We start from the raw sequence: 26,270 nt of genomic DNA on the forward strand, positions 1-26,270 counted from the left end.
AATTCAATATATTTCTGAGGCCTAACAGACCCCAATGAAGAAAATATCCACCAAATTATTAACTTCAATGAGAATGAGAGTTGAGGCATATAGTATAATATTTCTATAATTTTTTTTGCTGAACATAGCATGGTTTAATGAACAATAACCTTTGACTTCTTACAGAGAATCCATATCTCTAAATCAAAATGTATTTGTGTTCCTCTCTGCTTATATAGTTACATATATCATCTCAGCCCAAAGATATATTTTTTGTTGCAAATTTAAGGTGATTAAATGGTTTTTAATGGTAGCAATGTTGCAGTTTTAATTACAGTGTTTATTATCATGAAGAATTTAATGTAAATATATGACAATTAGCAGTATTCTATTGGGGAAAGCTGAAAATAATTTGTCCCAATCTGGAGATTTGCTGAGACCCATAATATGCATACACTAATTCCTTTGCCCTAACACCACCACTGTATAAAATATCTCTAGGGATTTTAAAAGGTAAAAGTGATATTCACAGCAGGAGTGACACAGCATATAAGGGAAACTTAAATTTGGCAGGCTTTTAGCAGGATTTTCCCCCATTAAATCACAGTAGCATAAAATAAGATATGTAAAATCACCTCATTACATTTATTTTTTAACTAGGATTTGTTTGTTTTTAAAGATCCAGGAAAAACTCACCAAATTCCTCTTCTCATACCCTACTCTACTTGAAATCCTGTAAGAATTACCAACTACATATTGATGATTTCCATTTTTGATAGATAATTTGAGTATGTAACTTTAAAAACATGAATCCTATAAACTAATGAGCAAGATTTCATTATCGAATAGCCCATTTTGCATTACTAAATGGACTACTTTTCTTAACTAACTTGGCACTTTTAAGTATATAAAGAAGCAAACAATAATGATTTTTAAAAATATTTCCACTTTCCAAGCCTTTATTCCATTTCCTGAATTTTAACCTGTCAAAAATGAAACGCATGCCTATGGAAAAGGTAATTACTTTTCTCCTTCTTTAACTTCTTCTTAATTAACTTTTAATCTATGCTGTTACAGAGGGAGCATGTCTTAATACTAAATGTGTCTAAAATGTAGGAGACAGAGATTTAAATCATTTAGATAAACATCTGCCTAGCACAGAGGCATAAAAATTACAAAATTAGGATATGGGTGGCTGAGTGCCAACAGTAGCTGCCAGCAAAAGCAAGATATTGCCTTCATTTAAAAAAAATCTTTTGCTTACAAACAAACCAACTTAATAAATGACTTCTAACCATACACTCTTATATTGGAGCACATTTCTTGTTTTATACTACATAAAATTCTAAAAACATGTGAATGAGAAATTGAAGGGAAATAACCATGCAATCATTTATGAAAGGCATGTTTTAATAGAGAAAAAATCAATAAATTGGAAAATTTTTACCATGAAGTGAAGCACTATTGCTTTGTTTAGTTGGAGTGGATTCTGTCAACAGTAATTTAAAGTAATCAGTTCAATGATATGATCCCTGGTTGGTGTTCAGATAATTACTATACTTATGTCTAGTAATTTTCAGCTATTAAATGGAATATAGAGTGGCAAGTAAAGACAGGAAGCTTTGACCCTTAATACCCCCTTTACTATATGTGTGTAATTTGTCTTCTAATAACTGAAATAACGTGACAGTAAAGTCCATACACACAAAATGGAAATAATCCTGCATCCTTTATTCAAGCCTGGTTAATCAAAATGTCTTGAATTTTTTTTTGCACAAGATGTAGTAGAAATACACACACACACACACACACACACACACACACACGCATAGAGAGAGAGAGAGAGGGAGAGAAGTCATTTATAAGCATACCTTGGAGATACTGCAGTTTCTGTTCCAGACTACCACAATAAAGCAAGTCACACAATTTTTTTTTGTTTCTCTGTCCATATAAAAGTTATGATACTGTAGTCTATTAAGTGTGCAATGAAATTATTTTTTTAAAAAATGAGCATTCCTTAATTTAAAAATACTTATTGGTAAAAAAAAAAAATTCTCACAATCAACTGAGCCTTCAGCAAGTTGTAATGTTTTCACTGGTAGACAGTCTTGCCTTGATGTTGATGACTGCTGACTGATCAGGTTGGTGACTGTGGAAGGCTGGGGTGGCTGTGGCAATTTTTAAAAATAAGACAATAAAGTTTGCCACATAGACTGACTCTTTGATAAATGATTTCTCTGTAGCATGTGATGCTGTTTGATAACATTTTACCCACAGTAGAAATTCTTTAAAAATTGGAGTCAATCCTCTCAAACCCTTCTACTGCTTTATCAGTTAAGTTTATGGAATGTTCTAAATCCTTTGTTGTAATTTCAGCAATGTTCACAGCATCTTCCCCAGGAGTAGATTCCATCTCCAGAGACCACTTTCTTTGCTCATCCATAAGAAGCAACTTCTCATCCATTAAAATTTTATCATGAGCTTATAGCAATTTAGTCACATCCTCAGGCTTCACTTCTGGTTCTCCTATTTTCACCACATTTGCAGTTAATTCCTCCACTGGAGTTTTGAACTTCTCAAAGACATCCATGAAAGTTGGAATAAATTCCTTCCAAACTCCTGTTAATCTTTATATTTCGATCCCCTCCCATGAATCTTGAATGTTCCTTTCCAGAAGGTTTTCAGTTTACTTTTTTTTTTTTTTTTTTACCTTTTCAAGATCCATCAGAGGAATTATTAGCTATGGCAGCTATACCTTATAAAGGTATTTCTCATATAATAAGACTTAAAAGTCAAAATTGCTTCTTGATCCATGGGCTGCAGGATGGATGTTGTGTTATCAGGCATCAAAACAACACTAATCTCCAATATCTTTATCAGAGCTCCTGGGTGACCTGGTTCATTGTCAATGAACAGTAATATTATTAATCTTTTTTTTGGAGCAGTAGGTCTTAACGGTGGGCTTAGAATATTTAGTAAACCATGCTGTTAAGAGATGTGCCATCATCTAGGCTTTATTGTTCCATTCATTAAGCATAGATGGACTATATTTAGCATAATTTTCAAAGGCCCTAGGATTTTTTGAATGGTTAATGAGCATTGGCTTCAACTTAAAGTCACCAACTGCATTTGCCACTAACAAGAGTCAGCCTGTCCTCTGAAGCTTTGAAGCCAGACATCGACTTCTCCTCTCTAGCTAAGAAAGTCCTAGATGGCATCTTCTTCCAATAGAAGGCTTTTTCATCTGTACTGAAAATCTGTTTTTTAGTGTGGCCAACTTCATCAATTATCTTAGCTAGCTAGATCTTCTAGATAACTTGCTGCAACTTCTACATCAGCACTGGCGCTTCACCTTGCACTTTATGTTATGGAGATGGCTTCTTTCCTTAAACTTCATGAACCAACTTCTGCTAGTTTCCAACTTTTCTTCTGAAGGTTTTTTTTTTTCCTCTCTCAGCCTTCATAGAACTGAAGAGAGTTAAGGCCTTGCCCTGGATTAAGCTTTGGCTTAAAAAAAATGTTGTGGCTGGTTTGATCTTCTATCCAGACCACCAAAACTGTCTCCATAACAGCAATAAGGCTGTGTCACTATCATTTGTGTGTTCACAGGAGCAGCACTGTTAATTTCCTTCAGGAACTTTTCCATTGCATTCATAACTTGGCTGTTTAGCATAAGACACCTAGCTTTCACCCTGTGTAAGTGTACATGCCTTCCTCCTCCAGCTTAATCATTTCTAGCTTTTTATTTGAAGTGAAAGATGTGTGACTCTTCCTTTTAACTTGAACACTTCGAGGCCATTGTAGTGTTATTAAATGGCCTAATTTCAATGCCGTTGTCTCTCAGTGAATAGAAAGTCCCAAGGAGAGGGAAGAGAGATGGGGGAGTGGCTGTTCCATGGAGCAAGCAGAACACATACAGCATTTATTAATTATGTTTGCTGTCTTATATGTATTCAGATCATGGTGCTTCAAAACAATTGCAATGGTAACATCAAAGGTCACTAATCATAGACCATCATAACAGATATAATAATAATGAAAAAGTTTGAGATACTGTGAGAATTACCAAAATGTGACACAGAGACAAAAAGTGAGCACATGCAGACGGCAAAATATTGCTGACAGACACTGTCTACACAGGGCTGCCACAAACCTCCAATTTGTAAAAAGCACAATATCTGTGAAGCTCAATAAAGCAAAGTACAATAAAATGAGATATGCATGTATCTCCTCTCCCTCTCCATATCCAAATGTAGTAAAGGAAGGAAAACAAACAATATATTTATTAAAATACTGTATTGAGAAAGGGAGGTAGAGGCATTACAAACCAGAAATTTCCATTAGCTTCTGAGATTCAAAAGGTGGATGAAGGGTATTAAATGTATAACACAAGTTAAGGGAACCCCAGGAAACTGCTACAGTGGTGCTGAAAGGTTAATGAATTCTTGACTTGTTGCAGGACATGGGGATCACAGTCCTTTTCTCTAAATAGTTTGTGTTCCACTGTCTTCTTGCTTCCAGTAGCAAATGTAAAATCTGACCAGTCAGTACAATGGTTTTACCTTTCAAAATATCTTGCTCGGGAGGCTGAGGCAAGAGAATCTCTTGAACCCAGGAGGCAGAGGTTGCAGTGAGCCAAGATCATGCCACTGCACTCCAGCCTGGGTAACAGAGCAAGACTCTGTCTCTCTCTCTGTCTATATATATATATATATATATATATATATGTATGTGTATATATATATATATATATGTATGTATATATATGTATGTATATATATATATATAATCAAGAATTTTTGTAAAAAATTTCATCCTCAGACTTCTGAATGGTTGTCTTTTTTTTCAGTTAGTGGATTATTATTTGTTTGTTATTTCAACTCCATTTGTTACCCTTTTCTTCTTCTGAAATACTGTTGGCATGTTAGATCTCTGGGATCTGTTTCTTATGATTATCATATTCTTGTGGGGTTTTTGGTCTTTGTTCTAAGTTATTTCTTCCATGTGATCTTATTACAAATACAAGTCTGAGCCATACCTGGCCTTTTCTAATTTAAATTCCAGTGTTTTATTTTATAATTTATGAATCACAATCATTATAGATTTTCTGACTATATCCGTTTGATGGTCCTCATTCATTTTATGTTACTGTTTTCTTTGAGTTCTTCATCAGTTCTAGTAATAATTTATTGGGAACTATCACTTAAAGAATTTTGGATCACTCACCATTCCTCAGGTTACTTATACCCTTTAAGGTTATTTTTTTTTTTGCCATATTTTCATTATATGTGCCCCCAGCCTTCACACATGGGGATATTATGGGTTCTGAGCTAAGGCAGACTTTCAGTGGAGGATGGTGAAATAAAATGGAAGGCACAGTCATTTTTGCTCCCGTGGTCAGGTTATGTTATCTGTCAAATGTGTTATTCTCTCTTGAAGCATCTGGGTACTGCATCCCCAGTCCCCTCTTTTTTTCACCCTGAGTATAAGTAAGAGCCCTGTATCACTCACAGGACCTGCGGGCAATGCAGCCCAGTAATGCAGGTGAGTGCAAGGTGACTGATTTCCTCCAAGCCTAAGAGAGTAACTGGGATCAAGCAACCTTTGAAAGACTACACAAAGCCAGTGTGCCCTCTCATCAGGGAGATTTGTAGATTTCAGTTGATTCTCCTTAGGAAAAAAATTTTTCCCTATACCATCTGCAGAATATTAGATTCATCCTCCGGCTCTACCCAGATGCCTCCAGCTTGCATGCACCATATTCTAAATGACTCCAAAGAGAGTTGGGAGGAAGAAGGAGCCAGGGATGAAAACCTTAGTTCCCAAACATTCCTTATTTTGAAAAGGAGACAAAAATATTGTTTATTTTGAATAATGTGACTATATATCTCTAAAACCTAAAGGATAAAATGAAATGCTTTTTAAACATAAGATAATTCAGTAAGATTATGGGTTACTATAATGAATGTCCAAAAATAAAACAGAAAACATAGCAAAATAAAAATCGAAAGAAAAAGGATAATGTATAATAACAATACAACCATAAATCTCTTGGAATGGAATTAATAAGCAATGTGTAATACTTATAATGATAAAACTATAACACTCTCTTAGAAAACAAAATGACATGTAAAGAGAGAGGTTTTCTTTGTTCTTGATTGGAATATTTAGCACTGTAAAGAGGGTAGATATCTTAAAAATGTCTTCATGAAATCAGAACAAATATTCAGAATTCCAATAGGATTGCTTTTCTCGGGCATGGGAGTGGGACAGAGAGTTGGAATGCTACAACACAAATAAATCTCAAGTACCTGATACATTACATATGAGAGGATTCAGAAAATTCCTTCCCAAAATAAAATATATTATAAAACTAGAATTAAAATATGATGTAAATGAAGAAATACATTACAGAAGCAATGATTTTCAAGACATCAGACATCAGGCTATGAAGAACTATGCTACTTGAGTGATGGGAACAATTTAGGGAAGTCCCATAAGGAGTCTTCAGCTAAAACCTTGAGATAGCTTTTGGGAAATGGCATATGGCAGACTCTCTAAGAGGAGAAGTTGAAAAGTGACTCAAGTTTGTGAGACAGAGTACTAAGAGAGGTAAGTCCTTCATAGAGAAACTCGAATATCTTCAAACGGATCTCCTGAAGCATTTAGCAGAGTACTAATCAACACATATTTATGAGGAAAGTACATAAAGCTTGGAAAGAACATGTGAAAGGATTAGAGGAAGGGAAGCAGTGCCAAAAGCTGAGATATGGTGCTGGGAATTATGCGTGTTATAACCAGACAGATTGGAAAAACTCATAATCCACAGGGCACTAGGTTAGTACTCAGGAAAGTCTCATAATTTCATTTGGTGTATTAGTATGAGTTTTCCAGAGATATAGAACCAATGGAATGTATGCATGCGTGTGTATACATATACTTTAAGAATTGATTGTGGAGGCTGGCTAGTCCAAAATCTCCAGGGCAGACCAGTAGGCTGGAGACTCACAGAAGGGTTGATATTGCAGTTCAAGTCTGAAGGCAGTCTTGATGCAGAATTTTCTCTTACATGGGGGTCCTCAGTTTTTTTCTCTTAATGCTTTCAACTAATTGGATGTGACCCACCTGCATTATGGAAGGTAATCTGCTTTACTTACAGCTACTGATTGCATCTAAAATATACCTTCATAGAAACATCTAGGCCTATGTTTGACCAAAAACTGGATACTATAGTTTAACAAAGTTGACACATAAAATTAATCACCATACTCAGTATTTTACAGTACTCAGAAGTTGCTTCAGTAGTGAGGAGTAAGCAGCCCTAGGTTGAGCACTGCTCTGGACCCATTTAACAAGTTAGAAGGCAAGACTCAAAAGGATGGAGCTATAGGAGGAATTTTAAAAATAATTTAACACCCAACAAGATAAAGTTCCCAGTGTTTGTTATCCAATAAAAAAGCAGGAAAATAGCATACATAATGAATAAAAGCATGCACACACACACACACACACACACACACACACACACACACGCAGTGTGTAGTATTCAGAAGAAAGACTGCTACAGTGATATGTTAAAATGTATTATCAGCATTTCTATTGTGATCTTTAATAGACATCTTAAAGTTACATCAAAAACCAACCTCCTGGGCCAGGCAGAGTGGCTCATGCCTGTAATCCCAGCACTTTGGGAGGCCGAAGTGGGCAGATCCCTTGAGGTCAGGAGTTCGAGACCAGCCTGGACAACATGATGAAACCACATCTCTATTAAAAATACAAAAATTAGTTAGGTGTGGTGGCACATGCCTTAATCCCAGCTACTCAGGAGGCTGAGGCAGGAGAATCTCTTGAACCCAGTAGGCAGAGGTTGCAGTGAGCTGAGATCGTGCCACTGCACTCCAGCCTGGGCGGCAGAGCACGACTCTGACTCAAAAAAAAAAAAAAAAAAAAAAAAAAGAAACCAAAACCAACCGCCTGACCTCACTACAACATTACCACATCCCCAAACATGCATTTCCCACTACACAACCCATTTCAATTGATGGCAACACAATCTTTTCAGATGGTGAGAACAAAAACCTTGAAGTTATTATTTTACTCCTCTCTTTCTCTCCAGTTCCACATCTAATTCATCACAATATCTTGTTGGCACCACCGCACCTGTTGTAATAGCCTCCTCTTTTTTTTTTTTTTTTTTTTAGTCTCTGCTCTCTTATAGTTTAATCTCGACATGGTAAAACAGAGTGATTCTTGCAACATGTGACTCTGATCAGTCACTCCTATGGCCAGTCTCAAGAAAGGATTTTCATTTTATTCAAATAGAAGCTAATGTCCTTCCAGTGACCTACATGATCTGCTCCTCCGCTTTTCTTCTGACAACATCTCCTATGATTCTCCTAGCTCAGCACTGTCTAATGATGAAATGTAATGTGAGTCACATATGCAATTTTAAAGTTTTTAGTAGCACATTAAAATGTTGAAAATAAGTGAAATTAATTTAATAACATTATATTTAACCCAACATTTCAAAAACATCATTTCAACAACATGAAACCAGTATAAAAATTCAACAAGTAATCAATATAAAAATGATTTTTGGTATTTTTTTCATGCACAGCCTTAAAAATCAGAAATGTATGTTATACTAATAGCACATCTTAAATTGGTTTAGCTCAATAGCCATGTGTGATAAATGGGTACTATATCAAACAGCACAGTGCCAGCTCTTGCCTCTCCAGGCACATTGGTTTCCTTTATATTCCTGGAACATGCCACCCATACTTTTGCTTCACAACCTCTCTTATCTAATGTGCTGAAATGCCATAATACCACATACTGGGTAATTTATAAACAATGAAAATTTATTTTTCATGGTTCTGGAGGCTGGAAAGTCCAAGATCAAGGTGCTGGTGAAGGCTTCCCTGTCTGCTTCCAAGATGGCGCCCTTTTGGTGCATCCTATGGAGAGGAGGAGCACTGTGTCTTCACATGGCAGGAGAAACAGGTCAACAATGGGGCAATTACTAGTTCCCTCCAGCTTTTTTATCAGGTCACTAATTCCATTCATGAAGGCTCCACCCTTATGACTTAATCACTTCCTAAAGCCCCACCTCTAATACTATCACATGAGCAATTAGGTTTCAACATATGAATTTTGGGGACATTCAGACAGTAACACAGCCTTTGCATCAGTTGTTTCCTCTTCCAGGAACTGCTTCCTCCATATATAAACATGGATTGTTTTCTTACCTCCTTCCAGTCTTTTTCAAATGTCACCATTTCCATGAGGCCATGCCAGATTACTTTATTTAATGTATCATTTATTATGTTTTAATAATACATAAATTACTTATTTATAATGTTTATTATCTATCTCTCCTCTCACTGTAAACTCTCCTATGAGGGCAGGAATTTTCGACTGTTTTGTTAATTTATATACTCCCAACTTCTCATAATCTCTATTCCATAGAAGTTCAATAAATACCTGCTGAATGAATGAGAAGAATTAATGCAGTCGGATATTATGCTCTCATTCCAACAACCTAGAGTCATGTACTGATTTTGAGAGATATTCAGGATATTTTGGCAAAGAACAAAATAGACATATTGAATAATTGTGGAAACATATATCCTTTTATTATTTCAAAACGTGTCTTTGGATATGAGTATAGCTGTGATTGAGATGACATATCATGTTTATAAAGAAAGCATAATATCTAGTTGCTATAATTAATTGCGTCTGTCTAGAGAGTAGAAATCTGTGGAGAGAGGACACTTTCATAGTTTTTAATTATACTTATATATATTTAGCTTTTTAAATAATAAGTATGCTCCTTGTGATAATTTAAAAATACTTATAGGTTTAAAAACTGGTAATGTCATAAAATATTGGGAGCAATTATTCTCTTGTTCTAAAAATTAACTCATTTAGGGTGCTAAAATCTATTTCTTGGAGGTCCCCTTTGTAAAACCCTGTAGGTATTTTTCCAGAAATATTCGGAGACCTCTACATTGTATGTGTATTATTCTGACCTCCTTTTGTATAGGGCTATCTGCGTTTCATCATTTTAATTCCAAGGAGTGATTTTATAAACTGTTCCTCAGTTCATAGTCTTTGCAATTAAATTGTAAGTTGACCCACTAACTGAATTACAGAAATCAGATATAAACAAATGAACAGATTTCAGCTGTTCATTTGATATATTGGTTTGAATTAGTTTTAATGGGCCACATGGCAGTTTTCTAGCCTGTAATTGCTATTAAACAGAATTCTGTAAATTCACTGAAGATGTTTAAATACTCTGTGTGGTAATACAACTGATTTGTGTTTTGTACAAGTTAATAACTATAGATTGAATTAAAAAGAAAATATGACCAAAAAAGAGGGTCTATTTAATGCAGTTTTTGTTTTATTACTTTGGAAGATTCATATGTCTTAATTTCAATTTTTCTTTTATTTCATTTTTTCAAAATAAAATTATAAGAATATAAGAATAAATAATAATAACAGTAACTTGTATTTCTACTGTGCTAAGAGCTTTAAATATTTTTTCTCATGTGATTCTTACAATAAACCTATAAAGTTGATATAAATATTATCTCAGTTTTTACAGATGAGAAAGTTGAGGTTTAAGAAGGCAGAATAACTTATCTATGTCCACAGAGCTAACAAGGTTAGAATCAACACTTATATATTATTGTTAGTTTCATTCTAAAACTGTGTTTTTAAGCATTATGTCACTAATATATTTATCCTAGTGAAAATAATTCTTCTGATCATCTTTAAAAATAAATAGGCCTAAAATTGCAAAGGGATTTTGACCTCAAATCGATTATAAATCCATTATATGAAACTGTTATATATGGTATCGCATCACAATACTTAGAACACCGACTGGAACATAGTAGGTATACAATAAATAATTTTGAATTAATGAAATTATGAAAGTTCTCATCTAATATTCTAAATCTTTACAGTGAAGGGAAAAATACCTTTTAAAGTGGGAAGAACAAAAGCAAATGGCACAGGGTGTTAGTATTTGAGAATGGAATAGTCAAATAAAAGGGATTCAAATTCACTTGACTGGATCATTTAGAAAAACTACAAATAAAGCTGGAAAGTGTCAGGCTATTCCATAGTATGCCTACTTTACAGATTACCAAATACATATAGTTTATGTGAGTTTGTATACTTAACAGGGGAATATTTATTTCCTCTGTTAATTTTATGCATGTTGAAATATGTGAGGGCCTGGTTAAAATAAGAAGCCCTCTCTGTAGCCCAGATAAAATGAGCCTCTCATTCTTCTCCATTAAATTAGGAGACATTGGTTGGCCTTTAAATATCATTCTGGACTAGTTAAGCAAACTCATAATGTTTGACTTCTGTTTGACCAGCTCCTCTCTCCAAACTTTGTCAACCACAAAATATCGTATGACACATTATATATACCTGATGATACTCAAATACTCTTCATCTTTTTATTCTCTACCACTTTACTAGTGCAGATTATCATCTGTTCTAGAACTAATGATGAAATCACCTTCAAATTATTCCCCTTGTGTTAGAAGTCCAGCTTGTTGACCACTTCTTCCCACTATCACCATATTTATCTTCCTAGAACATGTGTCTGTTCTTAAATCTTGCTAATTCCCTGTCACCTTTTGCTAATTCCAGGAGGAAGTGTAAAGCTTCCTCATGAAATTAAAGAAGTCTGCCACAGCCACCTTTCCTGGCTCACCTTCCCACAATCCTCCAGCAAACCTGAATTGCAATCATAAAGACCAACTCTGGCTGCCCCAGATAACCAAGCACCATCTGAGGCTGAATCTTGTTTCTAAAATGCTGTAGCTCTTCCTTTGTTATCAGTCAAAACCCTTCTCAAACATCAAGGCTCAGAAAAAATGCCATCTGTTTCATGATGTTTTTCCTAGTCTCCCCTATTTTACTCCTACCTTAAAATTAAGCATTTCCATAAAACTTTACTTATACCTACATTTATTGCATATCTCCTTCCCATATTTATTATAGTTGTCATTATTCTTTCCTTATTGGTTTCAAACTCTTTATGGACAGGTAAAGTGGCTCATGTAAGTGTTTCTCTTCCAGTGCCTAGAACAGGACAATATTTGCAGCAACAAAATATTCAATATAATAAAAATATGTTGTTTACTGAAAAAACACTCAATAAACTCAAAAACTACAATAAAATATTTTGTACAGAATAAAGATAGCAAAGAAAAAAACATAATTCTCCATATAATGGAAAAGGAACATGTTAAAACTTGTATTGATAACTAGATGAATATAGATGGATGTTTTACTGGAAAAGGGAAATAGAAGAGCAGAAAGGAAAACACATCAAAATTATTCTTTGATTTCAACTTTCCAAGGAAAAATTATTTTCAGGTACTAAGTTTGTCTGCATTGCAAAGGAGTGATTTTGTAATTTCCAGAACTGTCATCCTTTGTTCCACTGTTGTCCTTCACCCAGTATGCTCTCTGGGGGGTTTTAGGAGATTGCACACCAGGAGCGCTGGGCACAATGGCACTGAAGTCTTGCAGTGCAGGAAGCCTCAGCAATCAATTCCCACGCTTTCCAGGTGGTGCTGTTTGGTTCCATTCACATTAACTTTTCAGCTTTCTATGTGAAGAAAGCCTCCAGATAGTGAAGAGGGAGGGAGAGCAATAAGACCAGTGATTACAAATCCATCACTTTCATTGTTCCAGAGCCAGTAGCAGAACACAGCTGATAGACAAAGCACTGGTTTTGTTCAATAATTAGGTTGTTTCTTAGAGGAGAATATGAAGCCTTTTCAATATTTTACTCTTTTTAGAAAATATGTATATTGTATCAAACATTGTGTAGCACACAATAGAAATGGAGGTTTTAATAGTAGTCCTTATTGTGAACATCAAATATTAAAGGCAGTTTTGATTAGATTTGGGGAAGAATCAGCTCTACTGCATGCATAAAGCCAAAATATGTGGGACACTGGTCCACCTGAGAAGCAAGGTAGATATTTCCCAAATTAAGGGTAATTCAGGAGAGGTATTACTATTGCGTACACTTATAAAATATACTCAAAATTTGGGCAAAGATAAGAAAAGGATTTTTAGGCATATGGGTATGTGTATGTCTTTCTGAAAAAAAAAAAACTAAAATTTTAAGAATGCTATCATAATGATATACAAGTAAAATAGTCTGGATGTGAATACATCCGGGTCTTTTCAAGATGGTCCTTGCCAGGATTTTGTTGAAATATTATTTTCATGCTATCAAACGTCCTAAGTAAATGTCATTGTGGTTTCTTTATTTACTTTTTGGGCCCCTACTTTCTCACCGTATTTCCACCAAGTCTGACACCATGTTAGCTGTAAGTGGGGCAAAGAGATATTATAAAACATTCTTCAGTGATTAGAGACATAAAAACTATAAAAAATAATGTGTTACTTTGTAAATAGAATTCAAATTAGAATTTAACCTTCAAAATATTTTTTTTTGGAAAGTGATGAGAAAACACTGCATCTATATGGAAGCCGTGCAGTATAACAGAAAATGTCCTGTTGTATAAGGATGGAACACAGAATTTATTTCCACAACTATCACTGGCTCCTAAGACATTAAAGCTAGTCACTTAATTTCTGGTGTCTATCAATCAGTTCTTAAAAATGGAAACAATGATGCAAATTCATAACAAGAGATCATACAAATATTGGGATGATAAATAATATGTGACTGTATTTTAGTTGCCCAGTATGCCATTTTGTGATTATTTTTCAGAAAGGATTCATTCCTGAAAGGGAATTACAGAAAATAAGCACTATTGGTGTGTACTGTATTATTAGATATTTTTACACAAACCATTATGTTGAACTCAGAATAAAAGGCATATTTTAACTGGACATAGAGCCTTGATTTGTTCTAATAAAACCCTAATTTGCCCAAGTTTTATCAGTAACCATGGTTCCCACATAGTACTCATGGAGGTGGCCATGGTTTTTATTTTCTAATAAGACTCACTGTGGTACAAGGTCTGACTCAGAGCTTTTCCTAGGAATATAAAAAGGATAAATAAAAATGTAAAAGAAAAATTATCAAACTGTCCCTTGATAACTAAATGGTTGATCATAAATTGGAGTGTCTATGCAAATGAAGTAAATAATTAAAATCTCCAAGAACAGCATTGACTAGGTGGTTGATGACTGGCAATTATAAAAGCTGAATTTTTAATATGCATACATCCAAGGAGCCAGTAAAAATTAGCTCCCAGACTAATGGACTTGCCTTTCTTCCGAAGCAGAATTTTAATGAGAGCATTATTTATAACGGAGAGCCCAAGAACCAGGGTATTCTTGCTTAGTCTCATTTTTTTTTCCCTGACACCTTATCCATTAAACTATGAACTTCTTTACAGAAGAATAATACTTTATTCCCTAAGAAGTAAAGGTCAAAATGACCTCAGAAATTCGTTGCATTATATATACTCTAAAGACATGCCACTTAGGACAAAAGAAATCATAAAGCCTGTGTTTCTAAATACCCAAGTTGTATATGCTTTTAAAATATATTTCATAAGATCAAATTACATTCCATATAGTTTTGCCCTTCCACAAATTTTCTGTGTGATTATTTCCTACATAAGATAAAATGCAAAATCTTTGAAGGACACTTAAATCTTTTTGCATATATTTTTATAAGGCTTGAGAATGGTTTTAATCATTCCGATACGTGTATATTGTTAAGCTGCTAATTTCTTTGAGGCCATTGAAAGGGTTTAATTTTTCCCTAGAAACACCATTTTGTTATTGGCAGTCTGTGTTATAAACATCACAGAGTTTAGGTTGCCACTTTCCTTTTTGATATTTCAACCGGAGCGATGTCTGGTTTTGCTTTCATGACTCTTTCCCCCACAGTTGTAACTAAGCAAGGACTGTTTGGCAGATAGCATCTAAGGAGATTTTATTGTCTGGGTGACAGCTCCCTTAAACTATGAGTCAGGCAAAAGCCTGGTCCAAGGATGAGTCAGAGAGTGGTTTACTCAGAGCTGCCTTAAACAGAAAGTCACTAGTTCCCATCCAATTCTATCCCTTCACCCTCATTCCAGTGCCAACCTAAAATCATATGACCAAGGGAGATGGGTGGTAAAAGCATTATCAGGAGGAACATGATAAATGAGGTCTCATTAGTCTAAGCTTGTTCCCTTCTGTCACCTTTTTTTTTGTTGTTTTTAAGCCCTCAGTATTTTAGAAACTTCTATATCTACTCATATATACTGAAGAACCTAAATTTTCTAAAAAAAATCATAGATTTTATTAAAAATCTCAGAATGTAGGTACCTTTCTAATGTCCAATATCAGATAGACAACAGACAAATGCTTAGGATAATTAGGTTCTTTATATCAACCAAGGCAAGGCCAGGAGCTTCTCACTGAGACTCTTTGTTCAATAAACTGGAGATTGTAACTTTGGTTAATAACATTGAATTGTGAGTATAGTTAAGTTTATTTTTATATGTGTTTTGGCAATTTTGTGTTTCTTCTCTTTTTTAATTGCCTATTTTTATCCTTTGCACATTTTCCTCTTGGGGAATTTTTTTTTTTTTCTGATTGGTTTGAAATACCTCTTTGTGCATTAAGACCATGAGTTTTTTCCTTGCAACAAGTATTTTTCAAGTTTGTTATTTGCCTTTTAATTTTTATACTTGTAATGCATAAGTATGTTTATGCTTCTGTGTGATCAAATATACCTATACTTTCCCTAATGTTTTATTTCTTATTTTTATATTTAGAAAAGATGCCCCTACTCTGATACCAGATGAATATTTACTTATCTTTTTCTGTAATTCTTGTTTGTTTACAACAAATGTAATTCATTTTGGCATATGGTATGGAGTAGATCTTTATTGTTTTCCAAATACTAAGCCAGTTGTCCAAAGGCTACTTATCAAATGTCATTCTTTCTCCACTGCTTTGAATTATGTGATTTATAACATAGATCTTCGTAGCTTTAATATATACAAAAGCAATTTTTTTTCTAGTCGGTTCCAGCCATTTATTTGTTTTACTCCAGTATTAGGAATATTTTACTATTTCTAGAAAACTGGAATATTTCCTCACCTAGTAAGTATTGTTTTTTGTCTTTTTAGCATCAAATGAGCTGATCATATAGATTCCCTCTTTTGATATATCAATATACTGATGTAATTAAGTCTATATTATATCAGTAGAGTTTCTAACATATAACCACCCTTGCTTTCTTAGAATAAATCCTACTTGGTTATGGTTTTATTATATTAACACATTACTAATATTTTTCAGATTTCTGCATATATATAGTATAACTGAGAATGTTATGCAGTTTTCTTTTTGATCTGTCATTGCCCAGGGCTTTATAATTTTTTCTTCTTAATTCATAATATAAATTGGAAAATATAGTAGAGAAAGTTATAAAAATATGGCTGAGTCAACTAAGAAATTCAATGATTCACCTTCATCTGCCCTACCCGGAAACTGTACAAATAACCAAAGCATTATAAAAATCGAGAAAATCTAAAGGTCTGCACCAGTACTGGAAACTAGGAAAGGAGTCTATCCACACAAAGAATATTGAGTAGTTTCTGCTGTATGTGGTGCATATAACAAATGAAGACTTTTGTGATAGATAACTCACAATTCCACATCCCAAGAAAATAGTGGAGTATCTCAGGAATATAGTTATACAGCTAGGAAGATCTTCAATAGCATCTCCTGATTTGAATAGGCAAGGGCTCAAAGCAAGGGCAGGTCTGTAGATAGATAAGATGCAAAACTTCTGCCCAAATAGTCTATGCTCAGCACATTAAATACAAGTATAGTCATATTAGCTCAAAAGCCTTCAGGCAGTCGGACTTCTCCCTGGTATGGCATTAAAAGCTATAAATAATAAAGTAATTCAGTAAACAGTATAAGGCATGTAGAGGATAAGCTTGAGATGATCATACAGAATATAGGAGAAAAAGAAAAAATAATGAAAACAACCAAAGGAAAACCATTTGCATAGATGACCGACCTTGAAAAACTAAGGTACTGATTTTTCTATATTAACCCAACATGAACTCCAACATAAAATTGGGAGTTACTGGTGGATGTCTCCATGTTTACTGCACCAATTATACAGAAGAGGCAGCTGTCAGTCAGCCTTTCCTATCCTCCTTCAATTTGGTGTTGTAGATTGCTGAAATACACTACAATGTTTTTGTGAGTATCATCTTTCCTTCATCATCAGTTCCCATTTGTTATATATATTTCTTTGGTCATTGTAATCAGGATCTAGGATGAAGAACACAATTTTTGCCTTATTCTTTTATGTCTTTATTTACTTAAGGCAATAACACTGTAATTTAGTTAGAAACTTAGTTCATTAACTCAAAAGAGAAATTATAACTAATTTTAAACTCTCTGAGTTTAGGTTTTAAAAATTAGTGAAATTTCTCATTGGTTTCAAAATAAATTAATCATAAATATGTACAAGCTATTTTTTAAGAAACAATATCTTAATCATAAAAGTCACAAATTGAACTTTTTTAAAAGCATTATTTACAGGAAGGTGCTTTTTTTCTTGCTGCACTTTTCTAAAGATAAATACATGACCCTTAACATTTCCAGTTTCCAGTTGTCACACATCTTTACAAAGGCAAGCACAAAATTTGCACCTGTTATATGAGAGAAGTAAATGTCCTTTGAGATACTTTGACAGATACATTATAACAAAGTAAAGCAAAATTTTTAGTCTTTATATAAAAATAAAGTAGAAATATCTAATTAAGGATATGAAGAAAGCTGGTACTATTTCTGATCTTTCTAATGCCCAAATGAATGTTGTATTGTTTCAAAGTTTCAAATTCTATTAAAAAATTGCTGGCAGATATGTTCTTATTAAACATATAACATCATACCACTCCTACACCCCGAACAATCCCACCCACCTTGAGTACAAATCATTTTCAAAATATTGTTTGTCAGGAATTTTTCTTCAGCTATATACCATTTAAGAATGACACTAAAGGGAAATACTAGACTAGGGAATCTGTTTAGGGAAATCTGCTATTGAATAAAATTGGCATAGATTTAATAATATGAGTTTGAAGATAGAAATGTAGGTGTTTGATAAAAATTTAGGTAACAGAAATGAAAGCATTTGAAAATAGACATTTAAGATATTTAAAAATAGAATCCAAGATGATGTCATTAAAAACTGTATTATCAGAAAAAGTAGAAGACAATATATTTTAATTAGGAGGGGTAGGACTTTTTAAAAAATGTTTAAAAATAAAAATGTAATGTATTTTAACAATAGGACAGGACAAACATCAGTTTTTTAATTAAAACCCAACTTGGATTTAGTTTCTATAGTACTTTAGATACTTGTATTTCCAAAATAATATACAGACAGCTACTCAGCATATGTGTGAATATGAACACATACAAATATATTAGGCCATTTCAATTTTTCATCACAAAGTTAAAATTTCTAGTGACAATTAGTGGTTCATTATTCCTTTTAGAAAAGTGGCTGAATATAAGATCAACATGAAAAGATACCTTGCAGTCCTATATACTTGTAACAAACAACTAGAAAATTAAATATAAAGTAAGATAACACTTAAAGTAGCAATAAAAAATCAACTACCTACCAAAATTGGTCAACAATATGGAATTTCTCTATGCTAAAAACTAAAAAATATTATTGGTGGAAATTTTTTCTTTTTTTTTTTTTCTTTTTTTTTGAGACAGAGTCTTGCTCTATCACCAGGCTGGAGTGCAGTGGCGCAATCTTGGCTCACTGCAACCTCCAACTCCCCTGGTTCAAGCGACTCTCCTGCCTCAGCCTCCTGAGTAGCTGGGATTACAGGCGCCCACCACCATGCCAGCTAATTTTTGTATTTTTAGTAGAGACGGGGTTTCACCATGTTGGCCAGGATGGTCTCGATCTCCTGAGCTCATGATTCACCTGCCCCGGCCTTCCAAAGTGCTGGGATTACAGGCATGAGCCACCACGCCCGGCCGGATATTTTAAAAGACCTAAATATATGCAGGAATATTTCATGTCTGTGCATTGGAAGAACTCAATAGCATAAAGATGTCAATTCTTCTCAAATTGATCTATAAATTTAGTGAAATACCAAATAAAACATTCCAGCAGTTTCTTTTATAGAAAGACAAGTGATTCTAAAATTCTTATGGCAATACAAAGGGTCAGGGATAGTACAGACAAGCTTTAAAAAGAACAGAGTTGGAAAACTTACACTACCAGATATCAAGACCTACTATAAGTCTTACTTTAATAATGACATGGTGATATTGGCTCAAAAATAGACAAGTAGAGTAATGGAACAAAATAGAAGGCCTAAAACTGAGACCCATATAAATGTTGCCACCACTTCAACAGAAGTTACACTGTAATTGCAATGGATTGAATGTTTGTGTCCCTTCTAAAATTGATATGTTGAAATCCTAATGCCCAATGTGACATTATTAGGAGTGAGGCTATTGGGAGGTAATTAGGTCATCAGGGTGCACCTACATCCACGCAAATCATATTAGTGCCCTTAAAATGGAACACAAGGGAGTTCTCTCACTCTCTGCTATGTGAGAATAAAATGAGAAAACAGCTATGTGTGATCCAGAAGAGGGCCCTCACCAGAACCCAACCATGCTAGCACTCTGATCTTAGACTGCCAGCCTCCAGAACTGTGAGAAATAAATTTCTATGTTCATGAACCACTAAGTCTATGGTATTCTGTCACGGAAATCTCAACTAAGACATAAATACAATGGAAGAGAGGTTGTTTTTATGAATGATATAGGATCAATTTCATATTCATATGACAAGTAATAAACTATTGCTCCAAACTTATACAATACACAGGAATTAATCCTAGATAAACTATATACCTTAAAGTGAAGTGCAAAGCAATAATTTTTAAAGAAGATAATGGAAGGGAATAGTCTAATCATCTTTGACTTTTGGGTATGTGAGGATTTATTAAATGGGCCACAACATGTATTATTACTGAAAGAGAAGATAGAAACACTTTCAATTATCAAAATCAAGAAATTCCATTCATTAACGCCATTATGAACTGAAAAGACAACCAGAGTGGGAGAAAATACCTGAAAAAAAGCTAGGGTACAGAAATATGAAGCACTCCTGTAAGTCATAATAAAAAGACAGTTTTCAATTAAAAAACAGGCAAGAGATTTGAACAGTACATATACAAAAAATATTCAAAGGACTAATAAATATATTAAAAGGCATTAAACATCATTAGTCATCAAGGAAATGTCCTTTGAAAACACAATGAGATACCACTATAAACGCAATAAAATGCCCCAAAGTAAAACAGCAGATAACGCAAACTGTTAGCAAGGATGCAGAGTGGGAAAAGAATATTAATAATAGCATTATTTTCAATAGTCAAAACCTACAACAACTTTAAATTTCCATCAACAGTAGAGTCAGTAAATAAATGGCATAGCTTCATACGTTGAAATACCATATACAATGAAAAATAATGAAATACTGCCACACAAAACAATTGAATTTTATAATCTTTTAAACATTATAATCTTTTAAACATAGGAGTGCTTCATATTTCTGTACCCTAGCTTTTTTTTTTCAGGTATTTTCTCCCACTCTGGTTGTCTTTCCAGTTCATAATGGCGTTAGTGAATGGAATTTCTTGATTTTGATAATTGAAAGTGTTTCTATCTTCTCTTTCAGTAATAATACATTTTGTGGCCCATTTAATAAATCCTCACATACCCAAAAGTCAAAGATGATTAGACTATTCCCTTCCATTATTGTACATTAATTATGTACAATAGTACATAATTAATACCATTTATGTAAAATTAAAAACTTTATTGATAAAAATCAAAATAGTGTTTACTTTATGGGGAGATAGTTATTGAGAAAGGGCATGAAGGAGGCTTCTGGACGCCGTAATGATCTACAAGTCAACTTAGGTATTTTCACTTGACATAAACTCACCAACTTAAACGCTTGTGATTTCAGCACTTTGCTGTAAGTATGTTATATACTCCAACAAAAATGTTTTCTTACAAAATAAAACAGAAATATGCAGAAGAAAAACTTCATATCCTCAGGGGAATAATGAACCATACGTCCTTAACACAGAGGCGAAATTCCACAGCAGCCCCACTCCTGAAGTCCAAGGCAGGGAAATACACACATGATGATAATTAAGTGAAACTGATTTATTTTTATCTCAGTATACATTTTTGTAGCGCTATATGACTTCATGTGTTGTGCTTAAGGAAATGCATTCTTATATCTAAAGTAAGGATGAACAGATTGTAAATTCAAGAACTGTGCTGGAGTTTAAGACTTTTTTATAGTAATTGTTAATTTTCTTAAGTAAAGATTTCTGCCTTGATTACAACTAATTAGCAAATAAATTTTCTTTCTGTCATATCCCCTTATATGGAATCAAAAACTTATTAAGCATATGTCTATATTTGAATGCATTTTTACATGTGAACATCTCTTTTATATATTTAAATGTATATTTGACATAGTAGAGTATATATTTAAATGCAGACACACACAAATACATATGCATTTAAGTTTTAAATGAATAGTAAACAGTGATATGGATAACCCAAAAATCGTTTCTATTTGAATTTGGAATGTCTTGCATGATTTTTGAGGTATATTTATCTTCTTGATTACAGCTTGTTTAGACTGATATTAAAATTAGTCTGCACTACTTGAAGACACAACACCTGATCTTGAAGAATTATATCTAAAACATATTAGTTAACAGAAAGAAGGTATCTAGGGATTAAGTGTTTTACACTAATATTCATCCAGAAAGATCAGCAACATACTGATAAATGGAAATTAACTGTAAATTAAATTCAATCATTAAAATAAGGACATGCCTGAAACAAAATTAAGAAATTGGCCTAAAGTGAAAATTAGGGTATCTCAATTTATTTTAATTCTTCTTATTTTATTCTGTGTGTGTGTGTGTGTGTGTGTGTGTGTCTGTGTGTGTGTGTGTGTGTGTGTTTGTGTTGAGAGAGTGTATGCTACAATAAAAAGAGCACAGCCCTTAGATTCTGGCAAACAGATGTTTGACTACTGAGTCTATTAGTTTTAAAATATGGTAGCAAGTTACTTGACCTCTTGTAGTTCTTATTATAGAATGTGCCTTGGGCTGTGATCGTGAGAATTTAACCACAATGGCATATGAGTTCATAGTTTGCTTTTGGTTGGGCAAAGTTAATAAGTAAGCAAGGGACAGATCATGAGGTAGAGAGATCTAGGCTGAAAGATGATAAATTCACTTTGGGATATATTCAGTGGAAACCATCAACTTGTACCCTGATCAATAGCAAGTTGGATTTAGTGATATGAGCTGGAGACATAGTTCAGAGTCATCTTATATATGATGGACTTTGGAAATGGAAGCTTTGGAAATGAACCCAGGCCGCCTGGAGGAGTGTGCAGCATGAGAATAGAGGAGAGCCTGGAATCTAGAAGCCTAAGAATAACAACATTTAAGGGAGGCCAAGAAGAGATTTATTTTGCATCTTATAATCTGATGATACAGATGTCATTAGTTTGATTACATGTACAAATAAACAGAGCAAGTAGAGAAAAAATATTTATTAATAATAACAGGCAACCACAACCTCCGGGTACCTAGGGGCAAGAATATAACTGTACCTTGTGAGGGACTGGAGCCAGGAATGAGAAGCCTTCAAGGGATCCCGAGAGGATGTCCCTCACTCTTGTTTCTGTTTCAACCTGAATATCTTCTTTATTCTTCTACAGGCAGGCTTCATTTGTTCTTCTAAACACATGTTTAAAAAAGTTAACACTGAAGATTCCCAGTTTTATGTCTCATCTATGCAAGAGGCCAACTCAAAACAAAAGTAGAGTTAAAGGCCTTATTCTCAGTTTTTGGGAAAGGGCATTATTTCAGATACATATCTTAAGGCTTTTCACTGATTTTCCCAGCACTGCTGTCTCCAAAGTCATCTAGTCACTTGTCCTGAGAGTGCTGAGTTCTCCCCTCCCCTTGGCTGCCCCTGTGCAGGCACGTTGGCCAGCCATGTGCCAATAATTCTGCCTCAATGACCACTTTCAGACTTCAATTAAACACCATGAAGGCGGGTATGGAATCAGGCACATTGTGCAGCTGCCAAAATATCCAGATGATGTACCCTAGAAATATAGGGGAGTTTGATTTCCAAGAAGCAAACTTGAACTGAATCCCATTCCTTCTTCCCTCCCAGGATTAGTCAGAGTCATAGTTTTCCCTGCATTCTGCCCACCAAAATCCTGTATGGCAAAGGATATAACTCTGTAGCAACTTGCTGTTCCTTTTGTGTAGTAGCCAATGCAGGAATGCCTTATTCCCTGTCTGTCCCTGCCTCACTTCTCTTTCTCTCATTGCAGCTGCTCTGGGCTTGCATCTCTTAAGTAAAGCGTTTGCACATTAATCCTTACTTTAGCCTCTCTTTTCTGGGGAACTCAGGTGATGAGAGGCAGCTTATTGCTTAGATGTGTTCCTGTGTCCCCTCTGATTCTTTCTGCAAGGGAGAGGAAGGCAAAGTATTCCCAAGAAAAAGACCCTTCCACATGCCTCTGTGTCTTAGAAGGCACAGGGGAGCTTGTTTCCAGAAAAGAAGGAAGCATTGCCGTTAGGAGAGAGACCCCAAAAATATCTGACAAAGATTAAAAGTATAGTCATCAAGAATTATTCTAGGCCAGGTGTGGTGTCTCACACCTGTAATCCCAGCACTTTGGTAGGTTGAGGCAGGAGGATTGCTTGAGTCCAGGAGTTTGAGACCAGCTTGGACAACATAGTGAAACCCCATATCTACAAATAATAAAATAAAAATTGGCTGGGCATGGTGGCGCACTCCTAGAGTCCCAGCTATTCTGGAGGGTGAGGTGGAAGGATTTCTTGAGCCTAGGAGGTCGACGCTGAAGTGAGCCGAGATCACACCACTGTAAGAGCCTGTCTCAAAAAAAAAAAAAAAAAAAAATCTGTTATTTATTGCTCCTTTTCTGTGTGTCTCTTAATTGCAATTATCAATGCTTTTATTTTACTTTTCTCTTTAAACAGTTCAATGAATTTGATTAGATGAGTTATTACTATAAATATAGTATATTTCTGTGAAAAAATAACCCTTTGAGGAAATTTATTATAATTGATCACTTCTGAAGAGTGAGGAAATGACATGATAAATATCTTTAGGGGTTGTTGTTTTCAGAGTATTTCTCTATGAAATTAAGAAACAAAACCTTCAAATGTAATTCTACGCCCTTATCAAAATGATTTCCTTACAAGGAATATTTTGGATTTCCAGAAACCATACAATCACTAATTCAGTTTAATTCACTAAGGTAAAGTAGGGAAGATACTGCACTATTGCCCTTCCTGCAGTAGAAAAAGGCAGCAACAACCAACGAGAAGCTGGGTTAGCGCTTGGTAACAGTCTTGGTGTGATCTGTGGAATACACGTTTAGGTCTTTCATGGCACCTCAGAATCTCTGCCCTTCCATTGCTTGTTCTAAGCCTAAGGTACATCTAAGATAGTCAAGAGAAAAGATCATCATAGCAAGATAGAAAGACATGACATACTTCAAAATTAGCTCTCCCAACCACTGAGAAAAAAAGAAAAATCACTAACTTTTCTCTACTTCCCACCTCACCATCAGAAGGCAGTGTTTAGCTTTCTACCTTTCCTTTTTATGCATTCAGCAAGTTGTATAAAGCTTATGATATGTAGGGCACCATTTAAGAACTATAAATATGAACTAAATTATATATCAATGCCCTCGAGAATAGTAATTTTCACAATCTGGTAAAGAAAAGAAATCTCTTTGTTTGAATAATTTGTTGTGTTCTGAATTCATGATATTTAAAAAGCTAAATTTTGCTACAGTTAAAATGTTTTCTTATTTATAGCAATTCTTAAATAAGCCATGTTAGAAAGTTTGGATTCCAGAGAAGGCATTAATGCAAAAACTTAATCATCATGTTAAAATTCCCAACAAATTTCAAGCAATACCTAGAACCTGGCAATTCCTATTGAAATGGCAGTGCTTAGGGCAAATTGGAAAGCCAGCTAAGAAGTTTTCTACCGGCAAGATGAAAGATAATGTGGGACCAATAATATAAATCATTGGCTTGGACCACCTATTTTATTAATTGCCTTATTTTAGAAGTCAGATTTTTGTCTCAGAAGAATCTGGGAATGGGAGACAAGAGAAAAGACACTGACTTTTTAAGTGTCTTCCCAACCCCAGGTTTTTGTCCTTGTTTAGAAGAGAAAAGAGAATTTCAAAAACAAAACTAATTTTTATTATTTTAAGCAGCTATTTAGGTCTCTAAATAGAAGCCAAATAGGGTAGATGAAGGAATGTGGACTCTGCAGTCAGTCAAATTGGATTTGATATCTACTTTTTATCATTCTTCACTGAATAAATGTGGACAATTTACTTAACCTCTGTTAAGACAAACCTAACAGAAATATCTCAGTTTGTCCATCCTTAAAAGGGTCATGATAAATATTTATGTTAATTTGTAAGAATTCAATTATATCACTTAATAAATGACACATACAGGGCAGCTGGCATACAGTAAACAAAAGTGAGGCTGAGAATTCATTGGCAGCAGAATTATCTGAAGACTTGAGACATTAAAACCATCAACAAACTCAGTAAGAGACTCTAGTCCCAGAAATTTCTCAAATAACAAGTTCTATAAAACAAGATCCATTTGAAAAATTCTAACCACATTAAGGCCAGGCACGGTGGCTCACGCCTGTAATCCCAGCACTTTGGGAGGCCGAGGCAGGCGGATCACAAGGTCAGGAGATCAAGACCATCCTGGCTAACGCGGTGAAACCCCATCTCTACTAAAAATACAAAAAAAAAAAAAAAATTAGCCGGGCGTGGTGGTGGGCGCCTGTAGTCCCAGCTACTCGGGAGGCTGAGGTAGGAGAATGGCGTGAACCTGGGAGGCAGAGCTTGCAGTGAGCTGAGATCACGCCTCTGCACTCCAGCCTGGGCGACAGAGCGAGACTCTGTCTCAAAAAAAAAAAAAAATTAAAATAAAATAAAAAGAAAAAAGAAAAATTCTAACCACATTAAAGCTATTTTAAATATTTTATGAATAACTTAGGGTAACAATATTTTAATTGTCTAATTTATTAGCCGAAATCTTCAAGACACAAGCTTTTCAGACTAAAGTACCCAATCAAAA

General features: G+C 34.5%; 1 protein-coding gene across 16 annotated transcripts in view; it reads left to right on the forward strand.

Annotated features, from left to right (window-relative positions):
- The window catches only part of SPAG16 (sperm associated antigen 16), a 1,126,038-nt gene that overhangs the window by 770,046 nt on the left and 329,722 nt on the right, over positions 1-26,270 (forward strand). Inside the window, exon 14 of one of the 16 annotated variants that reach the window (XM_011511824.3) lies at positions 8,181-8,231. The exons of the other annotated variants lie outside the window; for them this stretch is intronic. Within the exon in view, the coding sequence (XP_011510126.1) occupies positions 8,181-8,216 (36 nt within the window). The 3' untranslated portion in view covers positions 8,217-8,231. Of the gene's footprint in view, positions 1-8,180; positions 8,232-26,270 lie in introns of those variants that run through there. 16 annotated transcript variants of the gene reach the window in all.

Source organism: Homo sapiens, chromosome 2 (genome assembly GCF_000001405.40).
Source record: "Homo sapiens chromosome 2, GRCh38.p14 Primary Assembly".
In the NCBI taxonomy this organism is placed as follows: Eukaryota; Metazoa; Chordata; class Mammalia; order Primates; family Hominidae; genus Homo; species Homo sapiens.